Source organism: Homo sapiens, chromosome 2, assembly GCF_000001405.40.
Source record: "Homo sapiens chromosome 2, GRCh38.p14 Primary Assembly".
Taxonomy (NCBI): domain Eukaryota; kingdom Metazoa; phylum Chordata; class Mammalia; order Primates; family Hominidae; genus Homo; species Homo sapiens.
In genome coordinates, this window is record NC_000002.12 from 3,197,530 (window position 1) to 3,223,124 (window position 25,595).

The 25,595-nt window shown below is 48.8% G+C and overlaps 1 protein-coding gene across 6 annotated transcripts in view, besides 3 other annotated features; it reads right to left on the minus strand.

The window, feature by feature from the left end:
* The window catches only part of EIPR1 (EARP complex and GARP complex interacting protein 1), a 188,849-nt gene that overhangs the window by 8,560 nt on the left and 154,694 nt on the right, over positions 1 to 25,595 (minus strand). For all 6 annotated transcript variants that reach the window (NM_001330531.3, NM_003310.5, NM_001330530.3 and 3 more), the window contains one exon: positions 16,620 to 16,719. In NM_001330531.3, the coding sequence (NP_001317460.1) occupies positions 16,620 to 16,703 (84 nt within the window). In that variant the 5' untranslated portion in view covers positions 16,704 to 16,719. The remainder of the gene's footprint in view (positions 1 to 16,619; positions 16,720 to 25,595) is intronic.
* Positions 609 to 903: an enhancer, noted in NCBI's record as "tiled region #8446; K562 Activating non-DNase unmatched - State 13:Ctcf". NCBI's record gives its function as "activates a minimal TATA promoter and a strong SV40 promoter by Sharpr-MPRA in K562 cells {active_cell/tissue: K562}" and the evidence as "EXISTENCE:reporter gene assay evidence [ECO:0000049][PMID:27701403]".
* Positions 1,067 to 1,605: an enhancer, noted in NCBI's record as "OCT4-NANOG hESC enhancer chr2:3202367-3202905 (GRCh37/hg19 assembly coordinates)". NCBI's record gives its function as "activates a minimal SCP1, AML or CMV promoter by ChIP-STARR-seq in primed H9 embryonic stem cells {active_cell/tissue: H9 hESC(primed)}" and the evidence as "EXISTENCE:reporter gene assay evidence [ECO:0000049][PMID:30033119]".
* Positions 2,890 to 3,446: an enhancer, noted in NCBI's record as "H3K4me1 hESC enhancer chr2:3204190-3204746 (GRCh37/hg19 assembly coordinates)". NCBI's record gives its function as "activates a minimal SCP1, AML or CMV promoter by ChIP-STARR-seq in naive H9 embryonic stem cells {active_cell/tissue: H9 hESC(naive)}" and the evidence as "EXISTENCE:reporter gene assay evidence [ECO:0000049][PMID:30033119]".

Sequence of the window (25,595 nt, forward strand, 5' to 3'; positions counted from 1 at the left end):
AAGGCCTCAGCAAGGCCCTCTGGGGCTGGTGTTAGGGCTAAAACCTCCCCCTGCCTAAAAGAGGGTGGGGCCCAGTTGTGAGCCTGCAAGAAGATCCCCAGCTCGTTTCTCTGCTCGCCTAGGATTTCATGCACAAAGGCTGAGCATGTTGGCTGCATCGTTATTTCAATTTGGGGGTTGAATTTCAATGCACAGGATGACTGTTAAAGGCAGGAAGCATCCAGGTCTGCCCCAGGGTCCTCTGTCACACCTGCCCCCAAGTCCTCCTGAGGGACACAGTTCCCACCACTAATTCCGTTAACTTTCAAACCAGCTGTGCTCTTCAGAGCCCTCTGAGAGGAGCCTGAGGCAGGTGGCTGGTGAGGCGGGCCTGGCCAGGCTGAGGGCAGGTCCAAACGAGCTGCTAGACAGGCCGTGAGAGGCCCAATGACCGAGCTGGTGCTGGAGTTTATTCAGCATCTCACAAGATTTACCGAGGGGCTTTGCTGGCCAGGGCAGGTTGGGTACCCAGGCTCGGGGTGAACAAGTCCCAGAGGTCCCCACAGAGTGAGTGCCCACTGCATAGACAGGCAGGGGCTCTGCCTGGAAACCACCACTCAGAACAGAAAGACGGGCAGTTCCCAGTGAGAAATAGGGCACCGTCTAAGCCACAGGTAAAGGGCTTTCTGGAAAGAGCGCACTGGCTGCAGATGCTCCTGGTGTCTCCCAGCAAGAGGCCTCCCAATTTCAGAGGTGGCCACTGGGAGGCGTGAGCTACAAGACCTGGTGTCCCCCCAGTCCTATGCAAATGGGCTGTGCGAGAGACTGAGAACTCAAAACAGTCCTGGTCAGAAGCCGAGAAAGGCGGTCATCAGTGAGAGACGCAGACACTGCGCTCAGTCAGGGAGAAGAGGCCTCGGGCCCAGGAAGAGCCACATCTTCACCTCCCACTCCGAAAGCCTGCTCTGATGCTTAGGAAACATTTTTGGAAACTGAAAGCCACCATCCTTGCAGAGCCTTGTTATCGGGGGAACCCACCCCCGATAATTCAACGTAGGTTCTTTTCTATTTTCCCTGTGTCGGTCGGTCTGAGAAATAAAGGGAAAGAGTACAAAAGAGAGAAATTTTAAAGCTGGGTGTCTGGGGGAGACATCACATGTCAGCAGGTTCCATGATGCCCCGTGAGCCGTAAAACCAGCAAGTTTTTATTAGCAATTTTCAAAGGGGAGGGAGTGTACGAATAGGGTGTGGGTCACAGAGATCACATGCTCCAAGGGCAACAGAAGATCACAAGGCAGAAGGTCAGGGTGAGATCACAAGGTCAGGGCGAAACTACAACCACTAATGAACTTCCATGTCCCACTGTGCTTGCATTGTCATTGATAAACATCTTAACAGGGTTCAAGAGCAGAGAACCCATCTGACTAGAATTCGCCAGGCTGGAATTTCCTAATCCTAGCAAGCCTGGGGGCACTGCAGGAGGCCAGGGTGTGTTTCATCCCTCATCTGCAACTGCATATGGCAGACACCCCCAGAGTGGCCATTTTAGAGGGCCCCCCCCCCGCCCCGGGAATGCATTCTTTTCCCGGGCTGTTAATTATTAATATTCCTTACTGGGGAAAGAATTCAGCGATATTTATCTTATCCGTTTTGGTAATAAGAGAAATATGGCTCTGTTCCACCCGGCTCCCAGGCAGCCAGACTTTACGATTGTCCCTTGTTCCCTGAAAATTGCTGTTATCCTGTTCTTAAGGTGCCCAGATTTCATATTGTTCAAACACACATGCTTTACGAACAATGTGTGCAGTTAATGCAATCATCACAGGGTCCTGAGGCAACATACATCCTCAGCTTACGAAGATGACGGGATTAAGAGATTAAAGTAAAGACAGGCATAGGAAATTATAAGAGCATTGATTGGGGAAGTGATAAATGTCCATGAAATCTTCACAATTTATGTTCTTCTGTCACGGCTTCAGCAGGTCCCTCTGTTCGCAGTCCCTGACTTCCTGCAACACCTTGTGGTGGTGAGAAGAGGTCAAGAGAAGGTGGGGACACAAGAGACCCACTGGGGGGACAGGGTACCCATGACTCCATATCTGGGCAGAAGCGAGGAGGTTGTGTCTGCATCTGAGCAGCTATGGGGGGCGTGTCCACATCTGGACAGAGGTAACAGGGCTGTGTCCACATCTGGGCAGAGGTGACATGGGTGTGTCTGCATCTGGGCACGCATGGGGAGGGGTGTGTCCACATCTGGGCAGAGGTGACAGGGGTGTGTCTGCATCTGGGCACGCATGGGGGGGTGTCCACATCTGGGCAGAGGTGACGGGGTGTGTCTGCATCTGGGCAGAGGTGACATGGGTGTGTCTGCATCTGGGCAGGCATGGGGGGTGTGTCTGCATCTGGGCACACATGGGGGGGTGTCCACATCTGGGCACGCATTGGGGGGTGTGTCCACATCTAGGTAGAGGTGACGGGTGTGTCTGCATCTGGGCATGCATGGGGAGAGTATGTGTCCACATCTGGGTACAGACAAGGGGGTTAGGGCTGAGGTGGCACCTGGGGCCTCACTAAGAGCTGGGAGAAGAATAGCCATGGTGATAGTCAGAGGAGCTCTCTAGGAATCGCTTGGACAGGGGCACCAGCAGGCTGGGTGTTGCCGAGGAGTGGACCTGTCCGCTCCCTCCCAGCCCCAAGCGGATGGCTGCCGATGGGCTCCTTCTTTTGTTTATGGAGAGCCTCCTGTGTGCCCCCGGCCCAGCTCCCCTGTGCCCAGGTCCCTGCCCAGCCTGGCCCACCACTTTCATCCCCACAACCAAGTGACTTTCAGGAAGTCAAAGGATGTCTCCTTAGGAAAAGCGCGGGGCTTTTGTTTTACGATATCCCTGGTAAACTATCCGCTCTACTGTCGTATGTGCCAAGGGTGACTTACTGATCCTCTCTCCACAGTAAGCTGAAGGGCTATTTCTGCTCCGTGCAGGAAATGTTAATTGCATTCCTGCTGTGTGGGGACAGTTGGCAGGCATGCATCCCACACACGGACCAAGCAGGAAAACGCCAGGAGCACACAGAGGAGGAGGTGGGAGCAGCCGCCACGTGTGGGGCCTCGGGAAGCCTGTCCAGAACTGAAAGGTGGACACAGGGGCGGGGCAGGGAGGGGGGCAGGGGCAGACACCAGAACGCACAAGCACGTGTGAGCACGGCAGGATTAAGCTTGAGTCATGAACACCAGGCCAAGGCATCCGCGGTGAGTCTGGTAGGCTCACCAAGGCAGCCGACACAGCACCAGGCAGAACAGTGGGGGCAGGGCTGGAACCAAGCACTGAACTTGGTGAGGACAGCCAGGGTCCAGGCCAGCTGTCAGCAGGACAGAGTGACCGAACCAGAAAGGCTGGGCAGGTCTGGGCTATGGGCAGGGAGGTGGCAGGGCCTGGGCACTCCGCATGGTGACGGCAGCATGTGCAGCAGCTCGGACGCTGGACTCAAACTAGCGCTAGCAAAGGGAAATTGAACCTGAGGAGCCTGGGGTGTCTCGGGACCAAGAGGTAGGAACCACATTGGGCTTTGGGGCTGCCGAGCCCCAGGCACGTGCTCCCACCCTGAGCTGGGCCCCTCTCTCCACACCTGCTCCGTTTCTCTTTCTCTCACTCCGGCCTGGCTCCCGTATGTGCACAGGGCAGGAGGCAAAAGCGCCGGGAACACCAGGGCCTGACATCCCCCTGATCAGGCACCCAAAGATGAGCCAACCCTTAGACCTCACCCCAAATTCCTGGAGAAGGAGGTAGACTGGCACAGCCGGGCCAGGCACTCGCCAGGAACAATCAACCATGGCGGAGGGGGGATGTTAACAAAAGAGGGGAGTGCTCTGCGCATAAAATCAGAGGCGCCTCCCACCTTCCTATTTCACTCCATCAGATTTTACAGCATCTCTTCCTTCTCATTACGTTTGCGGCAAGGGTGCAGCTTTTCCAGCTGGTGCGGGAGGCGGGCTCCCAGATACACTCAGCATGGACCCAGACACAGAGCGGGGGCACAGGCACTGCAGGGAGGGAGAGCGTGGCTCCCACAGCAAGCTCCAAGGAACCATATAGTGTGCAGGGTGACACACAGGAGCCAAGGAGAGGGTCCCCCTTGCAAAGCTACCGAGGAAGAAAACAGAGCTGGAAAATTCACGACCCTAAACGCTAAGCCACAAGAAAACCTTTAGTAAAAGCCAGTTGGGGAGTAGGTCAAAATAAACATTGCCAACAGCAATGATGGAATACAGTTTCCTAAAGAGAAGAATTGGTAGCAACATTACGTCAAAAACTAGCAATGATTCGAGTGTACACATTATTTCAGAAACACAGGGTGAGCTAATTTTTGGCTTTAACTTTGGCAACTTACAGTTAGTTAGGTTCAATGTCTTTTTATTTTATTTTATTTTTTATTATTTATTTATTTTTTGAGACGGAGTCTCACTCTGCCACCCAGGCTGGAGTGCAGTGGCGCGATCTCGGCTCACTGCAAGCTCCAATTCCCGGGGTTCACGCCATTCTCCTGCCTCAGCCTCCCGAGTAGCTGGGACTACAGGCGCCCGCCACCACGCCCGGCTAATTTTTTGTATTTTTAGTAGAGACGGGGTTTCACCATGTTAGCCAGGATGGTCTCGATCTTCTGACCTTGTGATCCGTCCGCCTCGGCCTCCCAAAGTGCTGGGATTACAGGCGTGAGCCACCGCACCCGGCCTAGGTTCAATGTCTTAACTTCCACATGGACAATATGAATGAAGAAATACCTTTGTAGTATTCCCTTTAGGTAAACAGAAAAAAGTCAAGTGAAATTTTTTACAGGTACTATTTCAGCTTTCTGAAGACCTACTTATCAGGTTAATGATTATCCATTGATGACAATGAATACAGTAAAAAAGACCAACTAGCAGATATAATGAAAAGGCTGGATATTGTTTCTAACTAATCGATACTGTGTTCCAGTTAACTTTCTACTAACTATATTGGTTCATTATGAAACTCTTTAGAAGACAGAAACACAAGGTCACACCTTTAGAAGGTAATGCAAATTCGGCAGAGTGGCCTGGACAAGTTCTTGATGACTCGTGTGTGCGAAACACCACAGGGCCATTCCAGAAGGGGAAGGCCCGAAATCTTGAGCCGAGCAATGCAAGCTGAGCCCCCAACAGAGCTATTCTGCCATCCCAAGCTCTTGCACTTCAACTTCTAACTCCGTAAGTGCTCCTTGCAGAAGTTCAGTCAGCAAAATGGAGCACCGCTTGCGTCCAAAACCCACGGGATAAAACACATCCTAACCTTCAGCTTAAGGACTCGTCTAGATTTTTGAAAGAGTAAGTTAATTAATTAAGCCATCAACCAACTACCAATTAGCCTTGCAGCTGATCAACAAGTATTTATTGAGCAAGCTCCTCAGCCGTGCCGAGTGCCATGACAGCAGATGTGGTTTTTGTTCTCACACTCGGTGTCTGGCTGCCGAGGTAAATGTGTGCAATGAAAAGAAATCACTCAACAAATACAACTCGTTATCAGTTACTCAATGCCAGGCCCTGTGCGGAGCATTTATGCTCATTTCCTAGTGAAATTATCACAAGTCACATGATGTAGATGTGAATATCACCATTTGACAGATGAGAAAACTGAGGCTTGGAACAAGTAAATACTTGTACAATGTTTTAAAAGCTAACAAGTGACAGAGCCAGGGTGAATGATAATAACGTACGTTGAGAGGGATTTCAAATAAAGTAGAACTCATCCAGGTTAGAGTAACTAGGGAAAGCTTTCATGAGGCTTAGGAACTGCGATGGGCGTTACAGACTGAACAGAACCTACATCAGTGAAACACAGGAGTGAGCCATTCCTGGCAAAAACAAAAGCCTCACCAAGGCAGAGAGATAGGTAACGTAAATAAACCTGATTGAAGGGGAACCACGTGCCGGTAGTCAGCGACAAAACAGACCAGGCCAGGAGGCCGGGACAGCACAGCACTGAGTCGGACAGGAGAGCCCGCAGTCGGGGCGCCTCCTCCAGCTGGAGGGTAGATAAAAAAAGCAGAGCTGGCAGAGGTGAAGCTGTGACATGAGGAGGCTGAAAACCAGGGAAGCCGGAGGCAGAAGAGGCCCATGGTCGGCAGCGTCTGGGATGGCCCTCGGACTTGGTGGCCTATGGAGTCCCTGCCCCAGAGCGGCTGGCCTCTGACCAGCACCGCAGGGCGGGGTCCCTCAGCGGATTAGATGAGAAGAGATCTGGGCTTCATCTTGCTGGCTGGGATGAGGCAAGCTCCACACTGTGGGGCCACACGGCCAGGAGCTGAGGGCGGCCTCTGGCCAACAGCTGGAGGAATCCAGGCCCTCAGTCCAGCAGCCCAGAAGGAGCCACATCCGACCAGCAGCAAGCCCAGCCCCACTGACCCTGAGACCACAGCCTCATGCGAGGGAGGCTTCAAGCAGAGGACCTAGCTGAGGTGTGCTTGGATTCCAGGTTATCCACACAAAAGCTGAGGTCACACACGTGGGCCGTGCTGAGCACTTTGAGGTCATCTGTTCCAGCAACAGACAGACTAACACGAGGCACTGACCAGAGGTGAAAGGGAGATGCCCCCAGATAAGGGGAGACCCTGATGGATCTCAGCAGCTCAGAGGCGGGCTGTGGCCCCCCTTACTGCACAGCTGGGAAAACTAGAACCCAGGGAGAGTGGGTGAGCTGCCTGTGGCCACAGCCAGCTGGAGGCAGAAACAGGATCTGTCACCTGACTCCACTCCATTGGTCATGCTAACGCCTGTACTCCCAGGCCCTGAAAACTTCACACTCACAGGTGCAGAGAAGCCTGGAAGGTAAATTTTAATAAAAGCCTGAAAGATATTTCACCATCAATTTCTGAGGGTCTACTCAGGGCAGACGGTGCAGTGTAAGTTGTAAGGTTAATCAATCACAATTTTTGGTTTCCTGGGGACATGGAGACAGCACTCAGCAAGAACTCCACAGGGTGCAATGCATGCAGTAATCTGTTTTTCGACATTAAAGAAGAATATTCAGTGCTTCCTGGTCCAAAAGGAATGATTAAAGGCGCCCACAAAACTTTCAAGGGAGATGTTACTAATGCCAGAATGTGAACAAAAGAATACACCTCCTAACGAGCAAAATGACGTGCCTGGCATCGTCTTTAGCAGTTCATGTGGAGCATATCTAAGAAGAGTCTCAGCGGAAGATTTTGAGAGACAAAAAGCTGTATTTCCTGCCATCAAGAGCCACAGAGCTGACAAGGGTGGCTTGATTTGGAGGACAGGAAAACTACAGAGAACACAGCACTGCGCTCACAGCAGACCCTACTACATGCAGGCGCACTCCCAGCAGACCCTACTACGTGTAGGCCGTGCTCACAGCAGACCCTACTACATGTAGGACTGTGCTCCCAGCAGACCCTACTACTTGCAGGCCGCACTCACAGCAGACCCTACTACATGCACGCTGACCAATACCAAGGAAAATGGAGGACCAGCAGAGGGAAGCACGCACCACCCTCTCACCTTGGACAGAGAACAGCAGGGTGAAGAAACAGCAAGGCTGTGGTGTCTAGGGCGCAGGACGTATGAAGCACCTGGTGCAGGCGTGTCCCAGGTTGTGCACCCTGGGCTGCACGGCAAGCGGGAGGGGCTGGCTTACAAAACGGCCATGACCATCCCACCCTGAGCCCGTTCCCATCCCATCCTCAGGGACTGACACTGCTCTGAGCTGAGCAGGAGGAAACTGTTCTCGCCAATGACTAGTTTAGACATGACTTGCCATTATGTCTGACAACTGGACAGAGGCACCTCTAACAAAGGCCTTCCTTACAAACAGAGATGCAGAGAAATCTGCTTTCTCTGCACTGGAACCGTGGGAGTCTGCATGTGATGGCTGGAACTGCTGCAGCTGCCTTGCAGTCATGAAGGCAGAAAGCAGTCACATGTGGATATGGCAGAGTGGAAAGATGCAAAGCAGCTGAGGCCTTCATGCTGTGGAGACACTGAATCACTTTATTTCCAAGCTTCTTGTTATAGCAGATAATAAAGATTCCTCATTGTTTAAGTCATTCCCTGTGTCCTGCAGCCAAATACAACCTAACTGTGGCACCTCTAGTGCCCATTTGAGAATGCCGATGACACCTATGGAAACTTCCCTTCCCTATCTCTGGTTGGGAATTCCAGTCCCAGCTTTGAACGTGAATGCCCCGAGCTTGAACCCCAGCTCTGCTTCCGAGTAAGCCATCATTGGCAGGTTACTTAGTCTCTTTGAGGCTTGGCTCCAGCTCCTATAACTCACGCACGTGACAATATTAAAGGACCCACGCTGCAGGGTTATAAGGATTAAAGGAGATAATACAGGTCAAATGTCCAGACAGTGCCTAGCACGTGGCAGGCATCTTAAACATGTTTTTCTTCATCTTTACTATGACTCAAAAAACAGCACCTTGGAACACTCAGAAGAGCTCTGAGTGGTCTTTATGTGGGGCGAACACTGATGCTGCCTTCTGGAGCACTATGGTCTGATGGAGGCGATGGAAATGAAATCTGCTGGAGTCCCTGAGGCCCAGTGCCACCTTCAGGATGCAGAAGAAAAAGAAAAGGAAGAGGATCTTGGGAGGGCTGGGCTCTCCTGGTGGCACACTTGGGCTCTCCTGGCGGGACACCCAGGCTCTTGTGGTGGGATACCTGGCTGCCAGGGCTCCTGTTTCCAGATGGCAGGAGCTGGTAGCACCAGGGGACAGAGAAAGGGTGGAGGTTGTCCTGCCAGGGTCACACGGCAGGTAGGCCCTTAGCCCTGAGGGAGGCTCTGCACACCCAGCTTGAATGGGACACAGAGCCCCCAGTGGGCTGCAGGCTCCCACACACCACCAAGGGTACCATCCCCTGGGGAGACGAAGTCTGAGATGCACAGAGCTGACCCGCATGAGAGTCTGCATTGTGGCCTCCTGGAAGAGTAGAGCCTTCCTGTATCAGAAAATGTACACAGGGCATCAGCTGTCCCCATTAGGTGACAGGATGTGCCGTTTTAAACTTATTTTTAGTTTATTTCTAAAAGGATTCTATTTGTAGGAAGAATAGAACTAAAAGGGTCTTTTCACTCCTCCTTTGCTACACAAAAATCTAAGCTCTGTTTCTGGAGAAAAACTGTGTCTTAAACCCCAAAATGCAGATGTGACCTCAGTTTTACACACTCAAAATTGGAAAGACCATGAGTACAGATCAGAATTATTTTTTTTTTACCAAGATAGACTATAAGAAATATTTCTGCAACCCCAATTAGACATTAGTGATCTGTTGGAGAGGTGGGTCTAATTAGAGGCAATCCTTGGGAGAGGGAAAAAGATCTTTTAAAAAGAATAATGAGGGCAGAAAACACTGGGAGCAGCGCGTCATGAAAGCACGCCGGATCCCTCATGTCTGAACTGTAATGATCATTCGCTGGCTTTGGGGAAAGTCATTTAATTATGAAGGAGACACAGACTGCTTTCTGGGACCTCAAGTTCTGTCTTGCCTCTGCACGAGGGTCTTCTTGGTGACCCTCCTATTGGGTAACCTTCACCCACGGCCCAGTGTTGGAGATCATGTATTACAGCTGCTCCATCCGCATCCATGTACCCACACACCCATCCACGCGTCCACCCACCCACCGTCCATCTACCTGACAGGCACACACTAAGAGCTTGCTGTGAGGAACGCTGCTCTCCTGTAACCTGTAATTCCACTGTTAAATGGACACTTGGTCAGGCCAAGGAACATGTCTCAGGTCACACTGTTAAGGAGTGGCAGGAAGGGGACCTCGTTTTGCAGGCTGCACTGCTGCCCCAGCTGCAGGAGGACTCACTGCCTCCGGGCCTCCCCCGGCTCAGGTCGTCCTGTACTCTGTGCACCTTCCCACTCACCCGTGCCTGTCCCAGCTATTCCAGCAAAACTTGAAGTCTTACATTGAATGCATCATCTAGATACTGCAGGCCCTATAACCGCATGGCACATTACAAAAGGCAGAGGCTCTGTGTTGGCCACCAAAGCTCCAGCAGCATGTCACAGTTCAGGTGGCCCTTGGACATGGCAGGCACTCAGAACAGGGTGCTGATGGGGAGCCTGTGCCGAAGCTCCCCAGGGTGAGCAGCTCCTCTTTCTTAAAGACGCCTGGTTCTAAAAATATATAATTTGTTTTGTATTACCAGAAAGAAGTCTTTTAAGAGCTTGGGAAAAAGACGCTCAGTTGCTAGATACCAGCACCTAGCCACTTTTGTTTTTTAATGACTTTTATTCAAAATCTGAGTGGAAGACTAATAAGAAAATGCTAGTGAGCTCCAATATTTACAAAATCAAACTATACATGTAGTTTTATGATATTAAAACTATGCAACTTGGTAAATTATACTATGATATTAAAATATGCAACTTAGTAAATCACTGACTACATATTTTCTTAAAGATAATGGCTTTTTCAAAACAAATATCCAAAACATAAATTTCACTGGCCATTGTCTGAAATCCCTGGCTATAAAGCTGACATTTATTTTAATGATGCAGTCTCTGCTCAAAATATTTCAGAATGTCTTTTTATGAGTCTTACAAGGAAATCAGTTTTCATGTGGTTTTAACCCGTTTTCCACTAATCAGCTTTTGCAAAGCTTGCTGACCTATTTTATTTACCAGATTTTGTTCCAATTAACTTTTTCCAAAAATCAAATTCATGCTCATAGGACAAAATGTTATTGATCATTCAAGATACTCAAATAAGAGCAAGTTATCTGAGAACCTCACAGACCTGAAGGAGGACAGGAGAGGTCTGGGCAGGCAGGAGCCACCGTGAGCACCTCTGTGCCCGGGTGGGACTCATTTATAGGGCATCAGACCTGACCCACAGCCCCAGATCTGGCACTCAGACCACGTCACCTTCAGACACTTCCTCTGCTTCCGTCGTTAGCTTTCCTCTTCTCATCTGTCAGTTGGGAGGGGGCCCAATTATATGATGAGGAGGTCTGTGTCTGATTAAAAGGACTACTTAAAAATAGTGAGAAATGACCATTTGTTGGGAAAAGTCCTTATTACCCTCTCCAAAGTGAGCTCACTGAGTGTCTGTTGAATGAATTTGGCCATGGCATTCTGGTATGCTTGGCATATGGCTGACTTCTTGCAGTCATAACTCAACCCCAATTCCCCCAGGAAACACTCGGCGGGTCCTTCTTCCATGCGTGAGGCTCGTGGCGGGTCCTTCTGTGAGTGAGGCCCGTGGCGAGTCCTTCTTCCTTGAGTGAGGCTCGTGGCAGGTCCTCCTTCTGTGAGTGAGGCCCGTGGCAGGTGCAGGTGTCTGGGGCCATCCCTGTTCCCCGACTCCAGTGTTCCTCTTCCCCACAAGGCCTCCAGCCTGGGAATGATGGCACACACAGGGTCCGTGCACGCTCCTTCAGAATGTTCAGATTCTTCCCTCTAATAGGACAAGGGAAGAGCTCTCATATTATCAAGGTCGCCAGAAGCGGGAACAATAGTGGAGGTGGCTGACCAGCACCATCTTTTCCGGGACGCCTGCTGGTGGGAAGGCAGGGTGTACACCCGTTCCATGTTTCTCTCACTAAGCACAACGAAAGCCTGGACACTGCACATACAACAGAGGGTGATTTGAAAGTTGGAGAGAGAGGGCAGGCCCACGCGGCACATAAGGAGACACGCAGTGGGGCTCCCTGGGGTCTCCTTCTGCCTCATTCACCCCAGACCTGGAGCTGAAGAAGCTGGAAGCCAGGAAACACCACCAAATAAGGCCCCAGAAGAGCCCACTGAAAGCCACATTTTCAAAAAGGGGCAGCCAAGTAGGACACAAAACCTCTAGACAGAAACCACGTACTCCAGACAAGCAGCCCAGAAAAAACCATGTCCTCGCTGCCCCCTACAACAGGGAAGCTCGGACTCCGTGTCCCCCGCATGGCGAGGGTGCGTGGAAGGAGGCCCAGGCACCTTGTGCATCTTAACCAAAGTGGACCCTGACGTCACTGTCAAACGCACAGCGATCAGCCCCCTGAGGAGAAAGCAGGAGACGATCTTCAGCATCCAAGTCATCTCAGCTCTCAGCCCTGGGACAAGGGACAATGCATAAAAGGAAAGACCAACAAACTGAACTTCATCGACATGGAGAACCTTCCAGACAATGGAACATTACTCAGTGATAAAAAGAAATGTGCTTTCAAGCCATGAAAAGACCTGGAGAAACCTTGACTGCTTATTACTAAGGGACAGAAACCAATCTAAAAACCATCCATACTGTATGGATCCAACTCTGTGACATCCTGGAAAAAGCAAAACAATGGCAATGGTGAAAAGATCGGGCTTGCCAGGGGCTTGGAGAGAGAGCATGAGGAAAGAATCATCGTTGGGGCACAGAGTATTTTTAGGGCCGTGAAACAATTCTGTGTGACACCACGGTAGAGGACAGGTGTCAGGACACATTTGTCCAAACCCACAGAACATCCAGCACCAAGAGGGAGCCCTAATGTCAACGAGGGGCTCTGGGTGACGGTGATGTGCCCGTATGGGTTAATCAGTGATAACAAAGGTCCCACGCCAGCAGGGGATATGCTGAGAGTGAGGGAGGCTGTGGGAAATCTCTGTATCATCCACTCAATTTTGCCGTGAACTTAAAACTGTTCTAAAAGAAAAGAAAAAAAAAAAGAGATAAACTTTTGCTCTGAAAAAGACCCTACTAAAAAGAGGAAAAGAAAAGTGACAGAATAGGAAAGAGCATTGCCAGCCACCTCCACGTTTCAGGAGCAGAGACTTAAAACACGAAGGGAACAACTCCTCATTCAGGGTGAACGCATCTCCCACCCACATCTGTTTTTCCAGAACTCAGTCCCACGGCCACACCAGGCTGCAGAGAGGCTGGGGAGTGAGGCCTGTCCTAGTCTGTGTTGCCACAGAGGACAATGGACAGACATTGGGACAAGGAGCTGTCCCTGAACACCCCCACGACAATCACAGCCACATGCAGGGATGAGCACGCTTGGTTTCTAGACAAGAAAGCAACATCCGCAGGCGAGTCGAGGAGGTCCCGGTGCTGCTGTCCCATTCTCCATGTCCAGGTCTTCTCACTGTTTACCTCCCAATTCTTTTTTTTTTTTTTTTTTTTTGAGACGGAGTCTCGCTCTGTCGCCAGGCTGGAGTGCAGTGGCGTGATCTTGGCTCACTGCAACCTCCACCTCCCAGGTTCAAGCAAGTCTCCCTGCCCTAGCCTCCTGAGTAGCTGAGATTACAGGCACGTGCCACCACGCCTGGCTAATTTATTTTTATTTTTATTTTTAGTAGAGACGGGGTTTCACCACGTTGGCCAGGCTGGCCTCAAACTCCTGATGTAAGGTGATCCACCCGCCTCAACCTCCCAAAGTGCTGGGATTACAGGCGTGAGCCACTGCCCCTGGCCTAGCTCCCACTACTAAGTGAGAACATGCATAGTTTCGGTGGAGGATGGGAGGAGACAGGACTGTAAACTCCCCATCGGTACTGTGCTTATTACCTGGCTCATGAAATCATCTGTACACCAAACCCCTGTGACATGCAATTTACCTACGTCGCAAACCTGCACATGCACCTCTGAACCTAAAACGAAAGTTTAAAAATAAGTAAATAAAATTTTAATAAAATATCAGAAATAAAAGGGCAAATGAATCCACCCATGGGCACGCCGCAGTGAACAGGAGGGTCGCTGCTGGAACCAGCAGTCAGGTTCCACGCATGAAGTTCTCCACTTTAACACTAACGAAACAAGCCTCTTTCCTCTGTACCACGTCTCTTCCAGTTTGGAGAACAAGAAAGATGAAAACAGAACAGGCTTTCCAAGGTGCGCCGGCAAGGAGCCATAGAACCCACCGACCGCCCACAAAGTTCCCAGCCCCTCCCCACGAGCTCTGAGATTAAGCTCGGCTTCTGCCCACTGCTCTCTTGGTCCCCAAAACACAAACGCTATTTGCATTACAGGCACGCTGGACATGGCGTTGGCTGCAAGGACCATGCTGCTGTCGCTAGGAGTGCCCCCCAGCTTATGTTTGTTTATCTGATCCTCCTGTGGTACATTTTAAACCTCTGATTAGAAACTTTCCAATGGAAACACTGTGTTCCTGAAGCATACTCCCTTCCTTCAAAGAGGTACTGTGTGTGTCACGCCAAGCAGATGGCTCTCTCTAGATGGCCACCTTCAAGGAGCTCCTGCTCTCCTGCGTGAACAGAAGGCAGAGGTGGAGCGAATCCTCACGCAAGCTTCCTTCTCGCTCCGCCACTGTCGGCTCCTTGACAGAAGCTATTTATTTCGTGGCGAGTGAAAGCTGGGAAAGGCGAAGATGAATGAGCACACACAGACACAGGACGGCCATCCCTCTACCCTCATCGGGGTCTGTGGCCCCCACGGAACCTTCCACTCCAGGCCTCCCCTGAGTTCTGCTAATGATTATAAATGGCACGGAATTTCCAATTTAATTGCAAAAGGTAATGATGCAGTGAGCATGAGATTAGATTCACCACAGAAGGCAATATCCTCAAACAATAAGAAGACATTGAGAAGCTGGGTGTGAAGATGGCTTGAATCGATAGGAGGTTTCTGTATTAAATACCACAGTGGAGGGCCACAAAGTAATATTGACAGAACTGCTGACAGTGGATAAAAAAGGGGGAGAGAAAACTAAATTGATCTCTGCAGAAAATAAGTTACAGATTAATCACCCTACCATGAAATCCATTTGAGATGACCGAGGCTCTGAAGATGTGTTCACAGTTTGATTACAGAATAGGTCTCCACCTGCCGCATCCTAACGTGTGGGGTCTCCTTTCTCCCCGGCATCCTCCCTGAGACAGCGAGCACAGTAGGTGTGCAGAAGGCTCCACCCAGCTCTTCCCACACCAGGAGCTGGGCCCTCTGCCCAAGTGTCTATACCAGGAATGGAGCCCTCTGCCCAAGTGTCTATACCGGGAGCTGGGCCCTCTGCCCAAGTGTCTCACCCAAAGCCTACCGTGAGCCTGGCATTTTAATAGGAAAGTATTTTCCTCCTTCTTCCTGGAGGTTTATAGTTATGTAGGAATGCCCCGCAAAAACACAGGGAGGGAAGGGACAAGGAAGGCATCGCCTTCCACCATGACCAGGACTCTGCCAAATCTCCCGGAAGGTGGGAGATTATGGACATATATCCCCAGCCTGCAGGTGTGGTCCACGGGGGTCAATCTCAGGCATGAAATGTCATTCGTTTCCTGTTTTATCTTAAAAGTTTGTGTGAAACTTGCATTCTACTCCAAGATATGAAGATATGCCTTATATTTAAAGTTTGTCATGAAAATAATAATTCTCTTCCTTAAACACCATTGATGCTCTGGGTGAACGCCCAACACTTAATTCCGCGGTGAAGGCTGTGAGACTCCCTTTTGTCCATTCAGAGGTTTAAAGCTTTAACAGGAAACTTAATATTTTTAAGTCTTACTTCTGTGCCACTTATTAATAATGATGCATCATTATTCATACCACCTCGTCAGCCTAGAGGGCTGAGGAAAGGACTTATTAATATTCTAAGGCACCATGAGGGAGAAGAGCTAAAAAAACATGGTAGGAACAAATAAATATAAGATGAGGCCATCACTGGAGAAATCTATCCAATGGATGCTTGCGCAATCGCTTTGACTGTGTGCCGGCAACGCAGCCCCCAAGGTATAAATGACATTGTAAGTGCTATCAGTTCAAAGTTCTTCCACTTCCTCTTTTCTAAAGTGGTTACTTTAACATAAACAAACGCAATGAAATTATGAATGCATGTAAAAACCACATTTTAAAGGAGAAAATTTTAAGAAATCAAATATGAAAAATATATATTAATATTTACTCTGTGAGAGACAAAGTATTCAAACGATGCATATTTAAAAGCAAAACTCAACCCAAAGAAAGCGCTAAAAGTTATTTTCATAACTCATGCAAATACATTACAAGAGCTAGGCACCACTATGAAATTAAAATTTTATAATTGCTCCTACTTAAAACTATGATTTTACCCAAATATATTTTAAGAATCCATTCGTCAAAAGGACAGCACGCTTGAAACGGTAGAAAATACTCCTGGGCATCCCACTCCCTCCTTTGCTCAAAGTGCAGCAAAACGCAGATGTTTTGCAAGCCACTGGGTTCCATGTCATATCTCACAAGCCCTGAGTGACATCTGAACGGCTTTCACCTGAAAGACCCCATCAGTCAGTTCTTTGATTGATGATTCAGTCTGTTCATTAACTAAGGTCAAAATTCTAAACTGTTGTGAATCAAGAATTACATTCTGAATTTAGCCCAAAGGTCCCATTTATTAATTTTTTTATTTTTTTCATTACACTTTAAGTTCTAGGGTACATGTGCACAATGTGCAGATTTGTTACATATGTATACATGTGCCGTGTTGGTGTGCTGCACCCATTAACTAGTCATTTACATTAGGTATGTCTCCTAATGCTATCCCTCCCGCTCCCCCAACCCCACGACAGGCCCTGGTGTGTGATGTTCCCCACCCTGTGTCCAAGTGATCTCATTGTTCAATTCCCACCTATGAGTGAGAACATGCGGGGTTTGGTTTAAAAATACAGAAACAAACGCTGTGTTGTTGCTTTTACTTACCACAGCCTGGCTCGAGCTTTCCTGTAAATCCCACAGCAGGATATGGTTATCAGCCAAGGAAATGATTTTCTTCCCATCTCCCATTGGCTCCCACACGACACTAAGAGAAAGAGAAGTACCAAATGTTAACATAAACATTTGAGATACCCAGGCTGGTAGGTAAGAGCTGTGATACATGTTCTTCATGACGCAGGAAATCTTTTCCGGCCTGTAGTCACTAGAGTATTTTTTACACTGTCACCCGGCAATGCCTGACAACACTGTTGTTGTCTCACTGTTATGGACTGAATTGTGCCCCCCTCCCCAGATTCATGTGTGGAAGTCCTAGCCCCCCACCTGGTGTGATGCTGCAGAGGTTCGTCAATGTACACAGGGGCTATGTCCTCACATCCGTCGTAAGTTTAAAATACCGTGAGCTGAAAATGCAGTGGATGCACCTAACCCACTCATCGTCAGAGCCAGCCTAACCTACCTTAAACAGGCTCACAACACTCACATCAGCCTACAGCTGGGAAAATCATCTAACACAAGACGTACTTTATAAGAAAGTGCTGAATATCTCATGTAACGTATTGGATATCACACTGAAAGTGAAAGGTAGAATGGTTGTATGGGACTCGAAATGCAATTTCTACGAATGCATAGTGCTTCTATGCCATTGTAAAGTTGAGAGGCCATAAGTCAGGGACTGTCTGTACTTGAAATGGAGCCTTTGGGAGGTGATTAGGGTTAGAGGAGGTCATGAGGGTGGGGACCTCACAATGGGATTCATGCCTTTATAAGAAGAGACCTGGAGGGCAGGCTTCCTGTCTCTCTCCATCACGTGAGGACACAGTGAGAAGGCAGCTGTCTACACATCAGTAAGAGAGCCCTCACCAGGAAATGAATCAGCCAACACCTTGATCCTGGACTTCCCGCCCCAGGAACACATTTTCATGTTGACGCCGCCCAGCGTGTGGCGCTTTTTATGGCAGCCCAAGCTAAGACACTCACCAACGTGGGCTTCATCAGTAACTAAGGAATGGACACTGACCAGCAGTGGCCAATGAGACGTGAGGGAGGCCTGTGGGGGCTGGAGGGTGGAGAGTCTTATGGAGGCAGAGAGGAGAAGATGATTTGCACAGGATGCCCACATCCTTTGTAGCAATCTCCTTAGGCACTCAAGGATAATGGCAAAGTACTGGACGAGATGGGAGGACAGAGCTTAGAGCAGGGCAGAGGAGCTGCCACCGGCCACACCAGGCTCAGGGGTGATGTTAAGCCATTTCCTAATGTTTGAGCCAATTGGAGCCACCGTTTCCCATCATCTGCAGCCAAAGCCATCCTAAATGATACAATGCTATTCAGTTACTCAACAAAGACCAAAATGCTCTCACCTCTGCGATAAAGCCATAAAGGGACCAAGAATTTTTCAACATGGTCGCAAATATGGATGTCTGTTTTCTCTGGTGAAATTCTTAAATGCTTATTTATAAAGAAAGGAATTTCATTCCATGTGCTTTAACTTGTGAGTAATTAAAGACATCAATAAGGTACTACACTATTTCTTTTTAAACAGAACACAATATGGATTGATTGGGGGCACCCTCAAGCATACCTCCCTTACACCGTCATCTCAAGACTGTCTATGGAGCTATTATTACTTGTAATCACAACATTAACATCATTCAAAACCACAATCTCTTTCTCATTTATAGTTTAAGGAACACACAGAAAGCTCATAGTACTGTGATCAAAGGCACATCACGTCTATATTAGACCAAGAGTTTATTGTATCTTATCTATTCATAATAAACACATAATATGTAGTAAACAAGACCAAAACTCTAAAGCTAGGATGCTGAAAAACCTGCTCCAAAACCCACTGCTCCTGTCCAGTTAAGACAATGGCTGACTCTAATGGTGAAGATACTTGTTTGGAGCAAAATGATCACACTTCTCTCCGTAGCCCAGTTACTGCAGGTAAACATAGGTAGAGTTCGGACAGCTTGATAGTAAATTCCAAGGAACAAATGCAATGCAGGGAGAGAAGGATGCAACGGGCAGCCCACAGATCTCGTGCTGGTGGAGTAATGCACTTACCCCATGCGGGACATTTTCTATATGACGGGCAGTAAATTTCCATGGATTCATAAGCTCCCCAGCAGATCTCACTTATAACTCACGTGTGCTTCCCACCAAAAAACAAGCAAGCAAAAGGCTGGAGCAAGGAGTATCCGTGTGGGCTATGCCAACAATGCAGTGACAGTGACTTCTCAGCATGGTACCAGCAAGACGCAGTGTACGTCAGCACCAAGACACTTGGGGTTTTAGTAGAAGCTCCAGAAAGGCAGAGATTCCCTTCGCAACTAACTCACACATCACAGGATGAGAACTAGCCAATCTGATGTCAAAGACTACCTAATTATGAATCAAAGCTAAGAGCCTATAAGTTATCCACACTTTCCCACAGACCAATTTTAATAATGCACAAACACTAATCTTGGCTACCTCCTTTGGTGCCATAAATATTTGACTACAGTGTCTCTAAACAGATTAAAGGTTTCTGAATCATACACCCCATCTATTAAAACTCTTCTATGTTCCCCACAATGACTGGCAACCTTTGGGGCACACACTTAATACCTGTTGATGAATTCTAAGTCAGAGTGAAGAATTCCAGGTCAGAGTGAAGATGTCATATTAACAAATAACACTATTTTAAAATAAATTTAGTTATAACCGTTAGTACATTTGGATTTGGAAAATAGTCAACAACTCTAGAATGAGGAAATGTTTTAAAGGCCTCTGAACAACTTTGAAGCTTCGAACACTGTGTTTCAAAGAGCAGCATCTTCAAGCCCTTCCTCGGAAGACAAGTGTGCCCTTTCAACTGCCCACAGTCCCAACCTGTGTCACCATCTGGTTTCTAAATCCACAAGAGAACATAATTGTGGATGAGGAGAGAAAAGGGGTGGCTCTAAACAGAAATGCAGGTGATTCAGCAAGCTATAAAAGATGATTAATTCAGAGCAAAATAGATTGGGGAGAAGGAAGCAAAAATACAGGAATTAATAAGACCCCATAACCTAGGGCAGTTCGTTTTGGATGGAATTTGAAACACTAGCATGTACTCACAAAGCCATAAGAGCAACACTGTATTACAGTTTGTGTAAGGAGCTGTTCTTAGTCACCGCCAAGAATCACTGGGGTTTACCCGCAGTAAGCTCTAGCTAAAAAGTAGTAAACATCAAAATATGTTTTGAAAGGTTTTCATCTAAATGTTTTAAGTTTGATGTTTAACTTCAATAAACATAGGTACTTCGTAAAACTCAAGAAAGTAACCCCATACAATTGCAATCTGTCAATTAACAAATAAAAACATTAAAAAGAATAACCCTAAATATTTCACATAGCTAAGATTTTAATCCAAATTTTTTAAAAAAATTGAGTTAAACTCACGTAAAGGCACTGTAGAAAGAGATGTTCGTCACATCCCACTGCAGATTAGTGGAGAAGCCGCCCTCTGTGAAGCAATGGGCTCCACAGAGAGAGGCAGACACCAGTACCACGGGTCAAATCTGATGGCAGATATTCAGAAACCACGCATCACAAAAAGGCTGCAACCAGCAAGACCCCGCATGGTACCAGTCTGATATACCACTTCCTGGGCCCCACCCGAGAATCTTCAGAGGCCCCACTGGCTACCCTGATACACCCCACAGAGTGTGAGTGTCACCTTAGCTGAGAAACCCCCATTGCCACTCCCAGGCAGTAAAGGAGGTTTCACTCCCCAACCCCTCATAAGCTATGCTAAATACACGTGAGTCCGGGGCACACCCAGCATGGCCCTGGTACACTCTAGAGTGTTCACACTGAGCCAGGTGCACACCCAACACAGCCCTGGTACACTCTAGAGCATTCACAGTGAGTCAGGTGCACACCCAGCATGGCCCCGATACACTCTAGAGCATTCACAGTGAGTCAGGTGCACACCCAACACGGCCCCGATACACTCTAGAGCTTTCACAGTGAGTCAGGTGGACACCCAACACGGCCCTGATACGCTCTAGAGCTTTCACAGTGAGTCAGGTGCACACTCAACACGACCCTGATATGCTCTAGAGCGTTCACAGTGACCCAGGTGCACACCCAACACGGCCCTGATACACTCTAGAGCTTTCACAGTGAGTCAGGTGCACACCCAACACGGCCCTGATACACTCTAGAGCTTTCACAGTGAGTCAGGTGCACACCCAACATGGCCCTGATACGCTCTAGAGCATTCACAGTGAGTCAGGTGCACACCCAACACGGCCCCGATACGCTCTAGAGCATTCACAGTGAGTCAGGTGCACACCCAGCAGGGCCCTGGTATACTCTAGAGCATTCACAGTGAGTCAGGTGCACACTCAACACGACCCTGGTATACTCTAGAGCTTTCACAGTGAGTCAGGTGGACACCCAACACGGCCCTGATACACTCTAGAGCTTTCACAGTGAGTCAGGTGCACACCCACCATGGCCCTGATACACTCTAGAGCATTCACAGTGAGTCAGGTGGACACCCAACACGGCCCTGATACGCTCTAGAGCTTTCACAGTGAGTCAGGTGCACACTCAACACGACCCTGATACACTCTAGAGCGTTCACAGTGACCCAGGTGCACACCCAACACGGCCCTGATACACTCTAGAGCTTTCACAGTGAGTCAGGTGCACACCCAACATGGCCCTGATACGCTCTAGAGCTTTCACAGTGAGTCAGGTGCACACCCAACACGGCCCCGATACGCTCTAGAGCATTCACAGTGAGTCAGGTGCACACCCAGCAGGGCCCTGGTATACTCTAGAGCATTCACAGTGAGTCAGGTGCACACTCAACACGACCCTGGTATACTCTAGAGCATTCACAGTGACTCAGGTGCACACCCAACACGGCCCTGGTATACTCTAGAGCATTCACAGTGACTCAGGTGCACACCCAGCATGGCCCTGGTATACTCTAGAGCATTCACAGTGAGTCAGGTGGACACCCAACACGGCCCTGATACACTCTAGAGCTTTCACAGTGAGTCAGGTGCACACCCAGCATGGCCCTGGTATACTCTAGAGCATTCACAGTGAGTCAGGTGCACACTCAACACGACCCTGGTATACTCTAGAGCATTCACAGTGAGTCAGGTGCACACTCAACACGACCCTGGTATAATCTAGAGCATTCACAGTGACTCAGGTGCACACCCAACATGGCCCTGATACGTTCTAGAGCTTTCACAGTGAGTGAGTCAGGTGCACACTCAACACGGCCCTGATATGCTCTAGAGCTTTCACAGTGAGTCAGGTGCACACCCAATACAGCCCTGATATGCTCTAGAGCTTTCACAGTGAGTCAGGTGCACACCCAACACGGCCCTGGTATGCTCTAGAGCATTCACAGTGAGTCAGGTGCACACCAAGCATGGCTCTGGTATACTCTAGAGCATTCACAGTGAGTCAGGTGCACACTCAACATGACCCTGGTATATTCTAGAGCATTCACAGTGACTCAGGTGCACACCCAACACAACCCTGGTATACTCTAGAGCATTCACAGTGACTCAGGTGCACACCCAACACGGCCCTGGTATGCTCTAGAGCTTTCACAGTGAGTCAGGTGCACACCCGGCATGGCTCTGGTACACTCTAGAGCATTCACAGTGAGTCCATGCACATGATGGCCCCAGTACATTCTTAGGGCAGGAGTTCCCAACCCCCAGACTGTGGACTGGTACCAATCCATATCCTGTTAGGAACTAGGCCGCACAGCAGGAGGTGAGGAGTGGGCAAGTGACATTACAGCCTGAGCTCTGTCTCCTGTCAAATCAGGAGGCATTAGATTCTCATAGGAGCGGGAACCCTGTTGTGAACTGTGCATGAGAGGGATCTAGGCTGCACACTCCTTATGAGAATCTAATGCCTGATGATCTGAGGTGGAAGTTTCATCGCAAAACTAGCCACCCTGGTCCATGGAAAAATTGTCTTCCACGAAACTGGTCCCTGTTGCTGAAAATATTGGGGACCACTGCCATAGAGCATTTACAATGAGGCAGGTATGCACACACACAATGGTCATAGAACATTCTAGAGCATTTATAGAGTCAGGAACACATGCACACAATGGCCGAGGTATACACTAGAGCATTCACAGTGAGTCGGGGACACACGCACACAATGGCCATGGTACATTTTACAGCATTTATAGAGTCAAGTGCACGTGCACACAATGGCTGTAGTACATTCTAGAGCATTTATAGAGTCAGGTACATACACTCACAATGGCTGAAATAAGTGAGTCAGGTGCACATGTGCATGATGGCCGTGGTACATTCTAGAGCATTTATAGAGTCAGGTGCACACACACACAATGACCATGGTACACTCTAGAGCATTCACAGTGAGTTGAGGACACATGCACACAATGGCTATTTGTGCATGTGTACATTTTAAAGCATTTATAGTCAGGTGCACACACGCGATTACCATGGTACACTCTAGAGCATTCACAGTGACTCAGGAACACAAGCACACAATGGCCGAGGTACACTCTAGAACATTCACAGTGAGTCCGGAACACACGCACACAATGGCCGAGGTACACTCTAGAACATTCACGGTGAGTCCGGAACACACGCACACAATGGCCGAGGTGCACACTAGAGCATTCACGGTGAGTCGGGAACACACGTACGCAATGGCCGAGGTACACTCTAGAGCATTCACAGTCAGTTAAGGACACATGCACACAATGGCCATGGTACATTTTACAGCATTTATAGTCAGGTGCACATGCACACGATGACCATGGTACACTCTAGAACACTCACAGTGAGTCAGGAACACATGCACACAATGGCCGACGTACACTCTAGAACACTCACAGTGAGTCGGGAACACACGCACACAATGGCCGAGGTACACTCTAGAGCATTCACAGTGAGTCCGGAACACACGCACACAATGGCCGAGGTACACTCTAGAACACTCACAGTGAGTCGGGAACACACGCACACAATGGCCGAGGTACACTCTAGAACACTCACAGTGAGTCGGGAACACACGCACACAATGGCCGAGGTACACTCTAGAACACTCACAGTGAGTCGGGAACACACGCACACAATGGCCGAGGTACACTCTAGAACACTCACAGTGAGTCGGGAACACACGCACACAATGGCCGAGGTACACTCTAGAGCATTCACAGTGAGTCGGGAACACACGCACACAATGGCCGAGGTACACTCTAGAACACTCACAGTGAGTCGGGAACACACGCACAAAATGGCCGAGGTACACTCTAGAGCATTCACAGTGAGTCTGGAACACACGCACACAATGGCCGAGGTACACTCTAGAACACTCACAGTGAGTCGGGAACACACGCACACAATGGCCGAGGTACACTCTAGAGCATTCACAGTGAGTTCGGAACACATGCACACAATGGCCGAGGTACACTCTAGAACACTCACAGTGAGTCGGGAACACACGCACACAATGGCCGAGGTACACTCTAGAGCATTCACAGTGAGACCGGAACACACGCACACAATGGCCAAGATACACTCTAGAACATTCACAGTGAGTCGGGAACACATGCACACAATGGCCGAGGTACACTCTAGAACATTCACAGTCAGTTGAGGACACAAGCCCACAATGGCCGAGATACACTCTAGAGCATTTATAGAGTCAGGTGCACATGCACACGATGGCCACAGACAGCTCTGGGACACATTTTGAAGCATCCATTTCACGTCCTAAGGAGCTGATGGTCATAATCAATGCTCCTGAAAACTTGTTTCCCAAATCCCCTCGCGGTTTTTTTTTTGTTTGTTTCACAAGACACTTATGTATGCATTTGAATGGGTACCAATTCCAAAGTGGTGGAGATTCAAAGCCGAATCAAACATTTGCCTCTACATGCACATCCAGCAGCACAGCATCCTGCACTTAAGAGCAGCATGTGCTCTAAAAGACACTCTCCCTGCAGACATATCACTGCAACGCCTTCTTCCCCTGGCTAGAAGAAAATGGGTCATCTTAGCCTAGTTTTGCTCCAGGTGTGGAATAAAATAAGTGGGGGAGAGGACTGTATTTCCTGCAGGAAATCGTGGTGTGCTATTCCACTCATTTTCTCTGCATGCGACTGATTTTATATCTGCCTTGGCGTGGGCCAAGGGATATACTTCTCTATGAAAAAGCTCATATTTCTCAGTCATATTATCAGAGGAAGCAATAAAATGAGTTTCAAGTGGCTGTATAAGTAACTTTTTAGATCTATGAAGAAAAAATATAATTCAAAAAGAAGCAAAAAAAGGCTTAAAGACTACAGGAGGTAATATTGATTTGCTTTAGAAAATAACTGGCTTCGAGTTCTCACAGGTAAAGCTTTCAAGAAATGCTTCTTGGGTTCTGAAGATCACAGGGAACATTGTAAGGCTGTGATGAAGTCTGCAAAGAGCACAGGGAAATGAAGGAAGGTCACATGGCACTTGAGCCTCGGTACCAACTGAGTCTGTGGGAGGGAGGCCTGGGCGTGGAGGGCCCTGAAGAATGACTGCCAGACTGAAAACCTGTCACCTGGGTAGATGGGTGCATGATGACATCGTGGATTCGCTTTCAGAGAGACCAGATCGAGATATCATCTTGCTAGGAGTCTAGGAAACCAACTACACAAACAGAAGCTTCGTGGCTTTCTGGAAACACAGCCATGGGTGGTGGCTACATGTTTGCAGAGTAGTGACGGGCGGTTCCCTAACCAATCACGGTTTTGTGTGTCTTTCTTGTTAAGAGATAAATGTCAAGGCAAAGAGGGAAAGGGTCAAGAAAGACAATTCAGAAGAATCTGAGCCCAGGAGCCTCAGGGTCCTACAAACTGCCCAAGCCTGAGACTGGCAAGATGGATTATTCTTCACAGGACCAGGACTGAAGCTGGAAGGGCACATAGCTTAC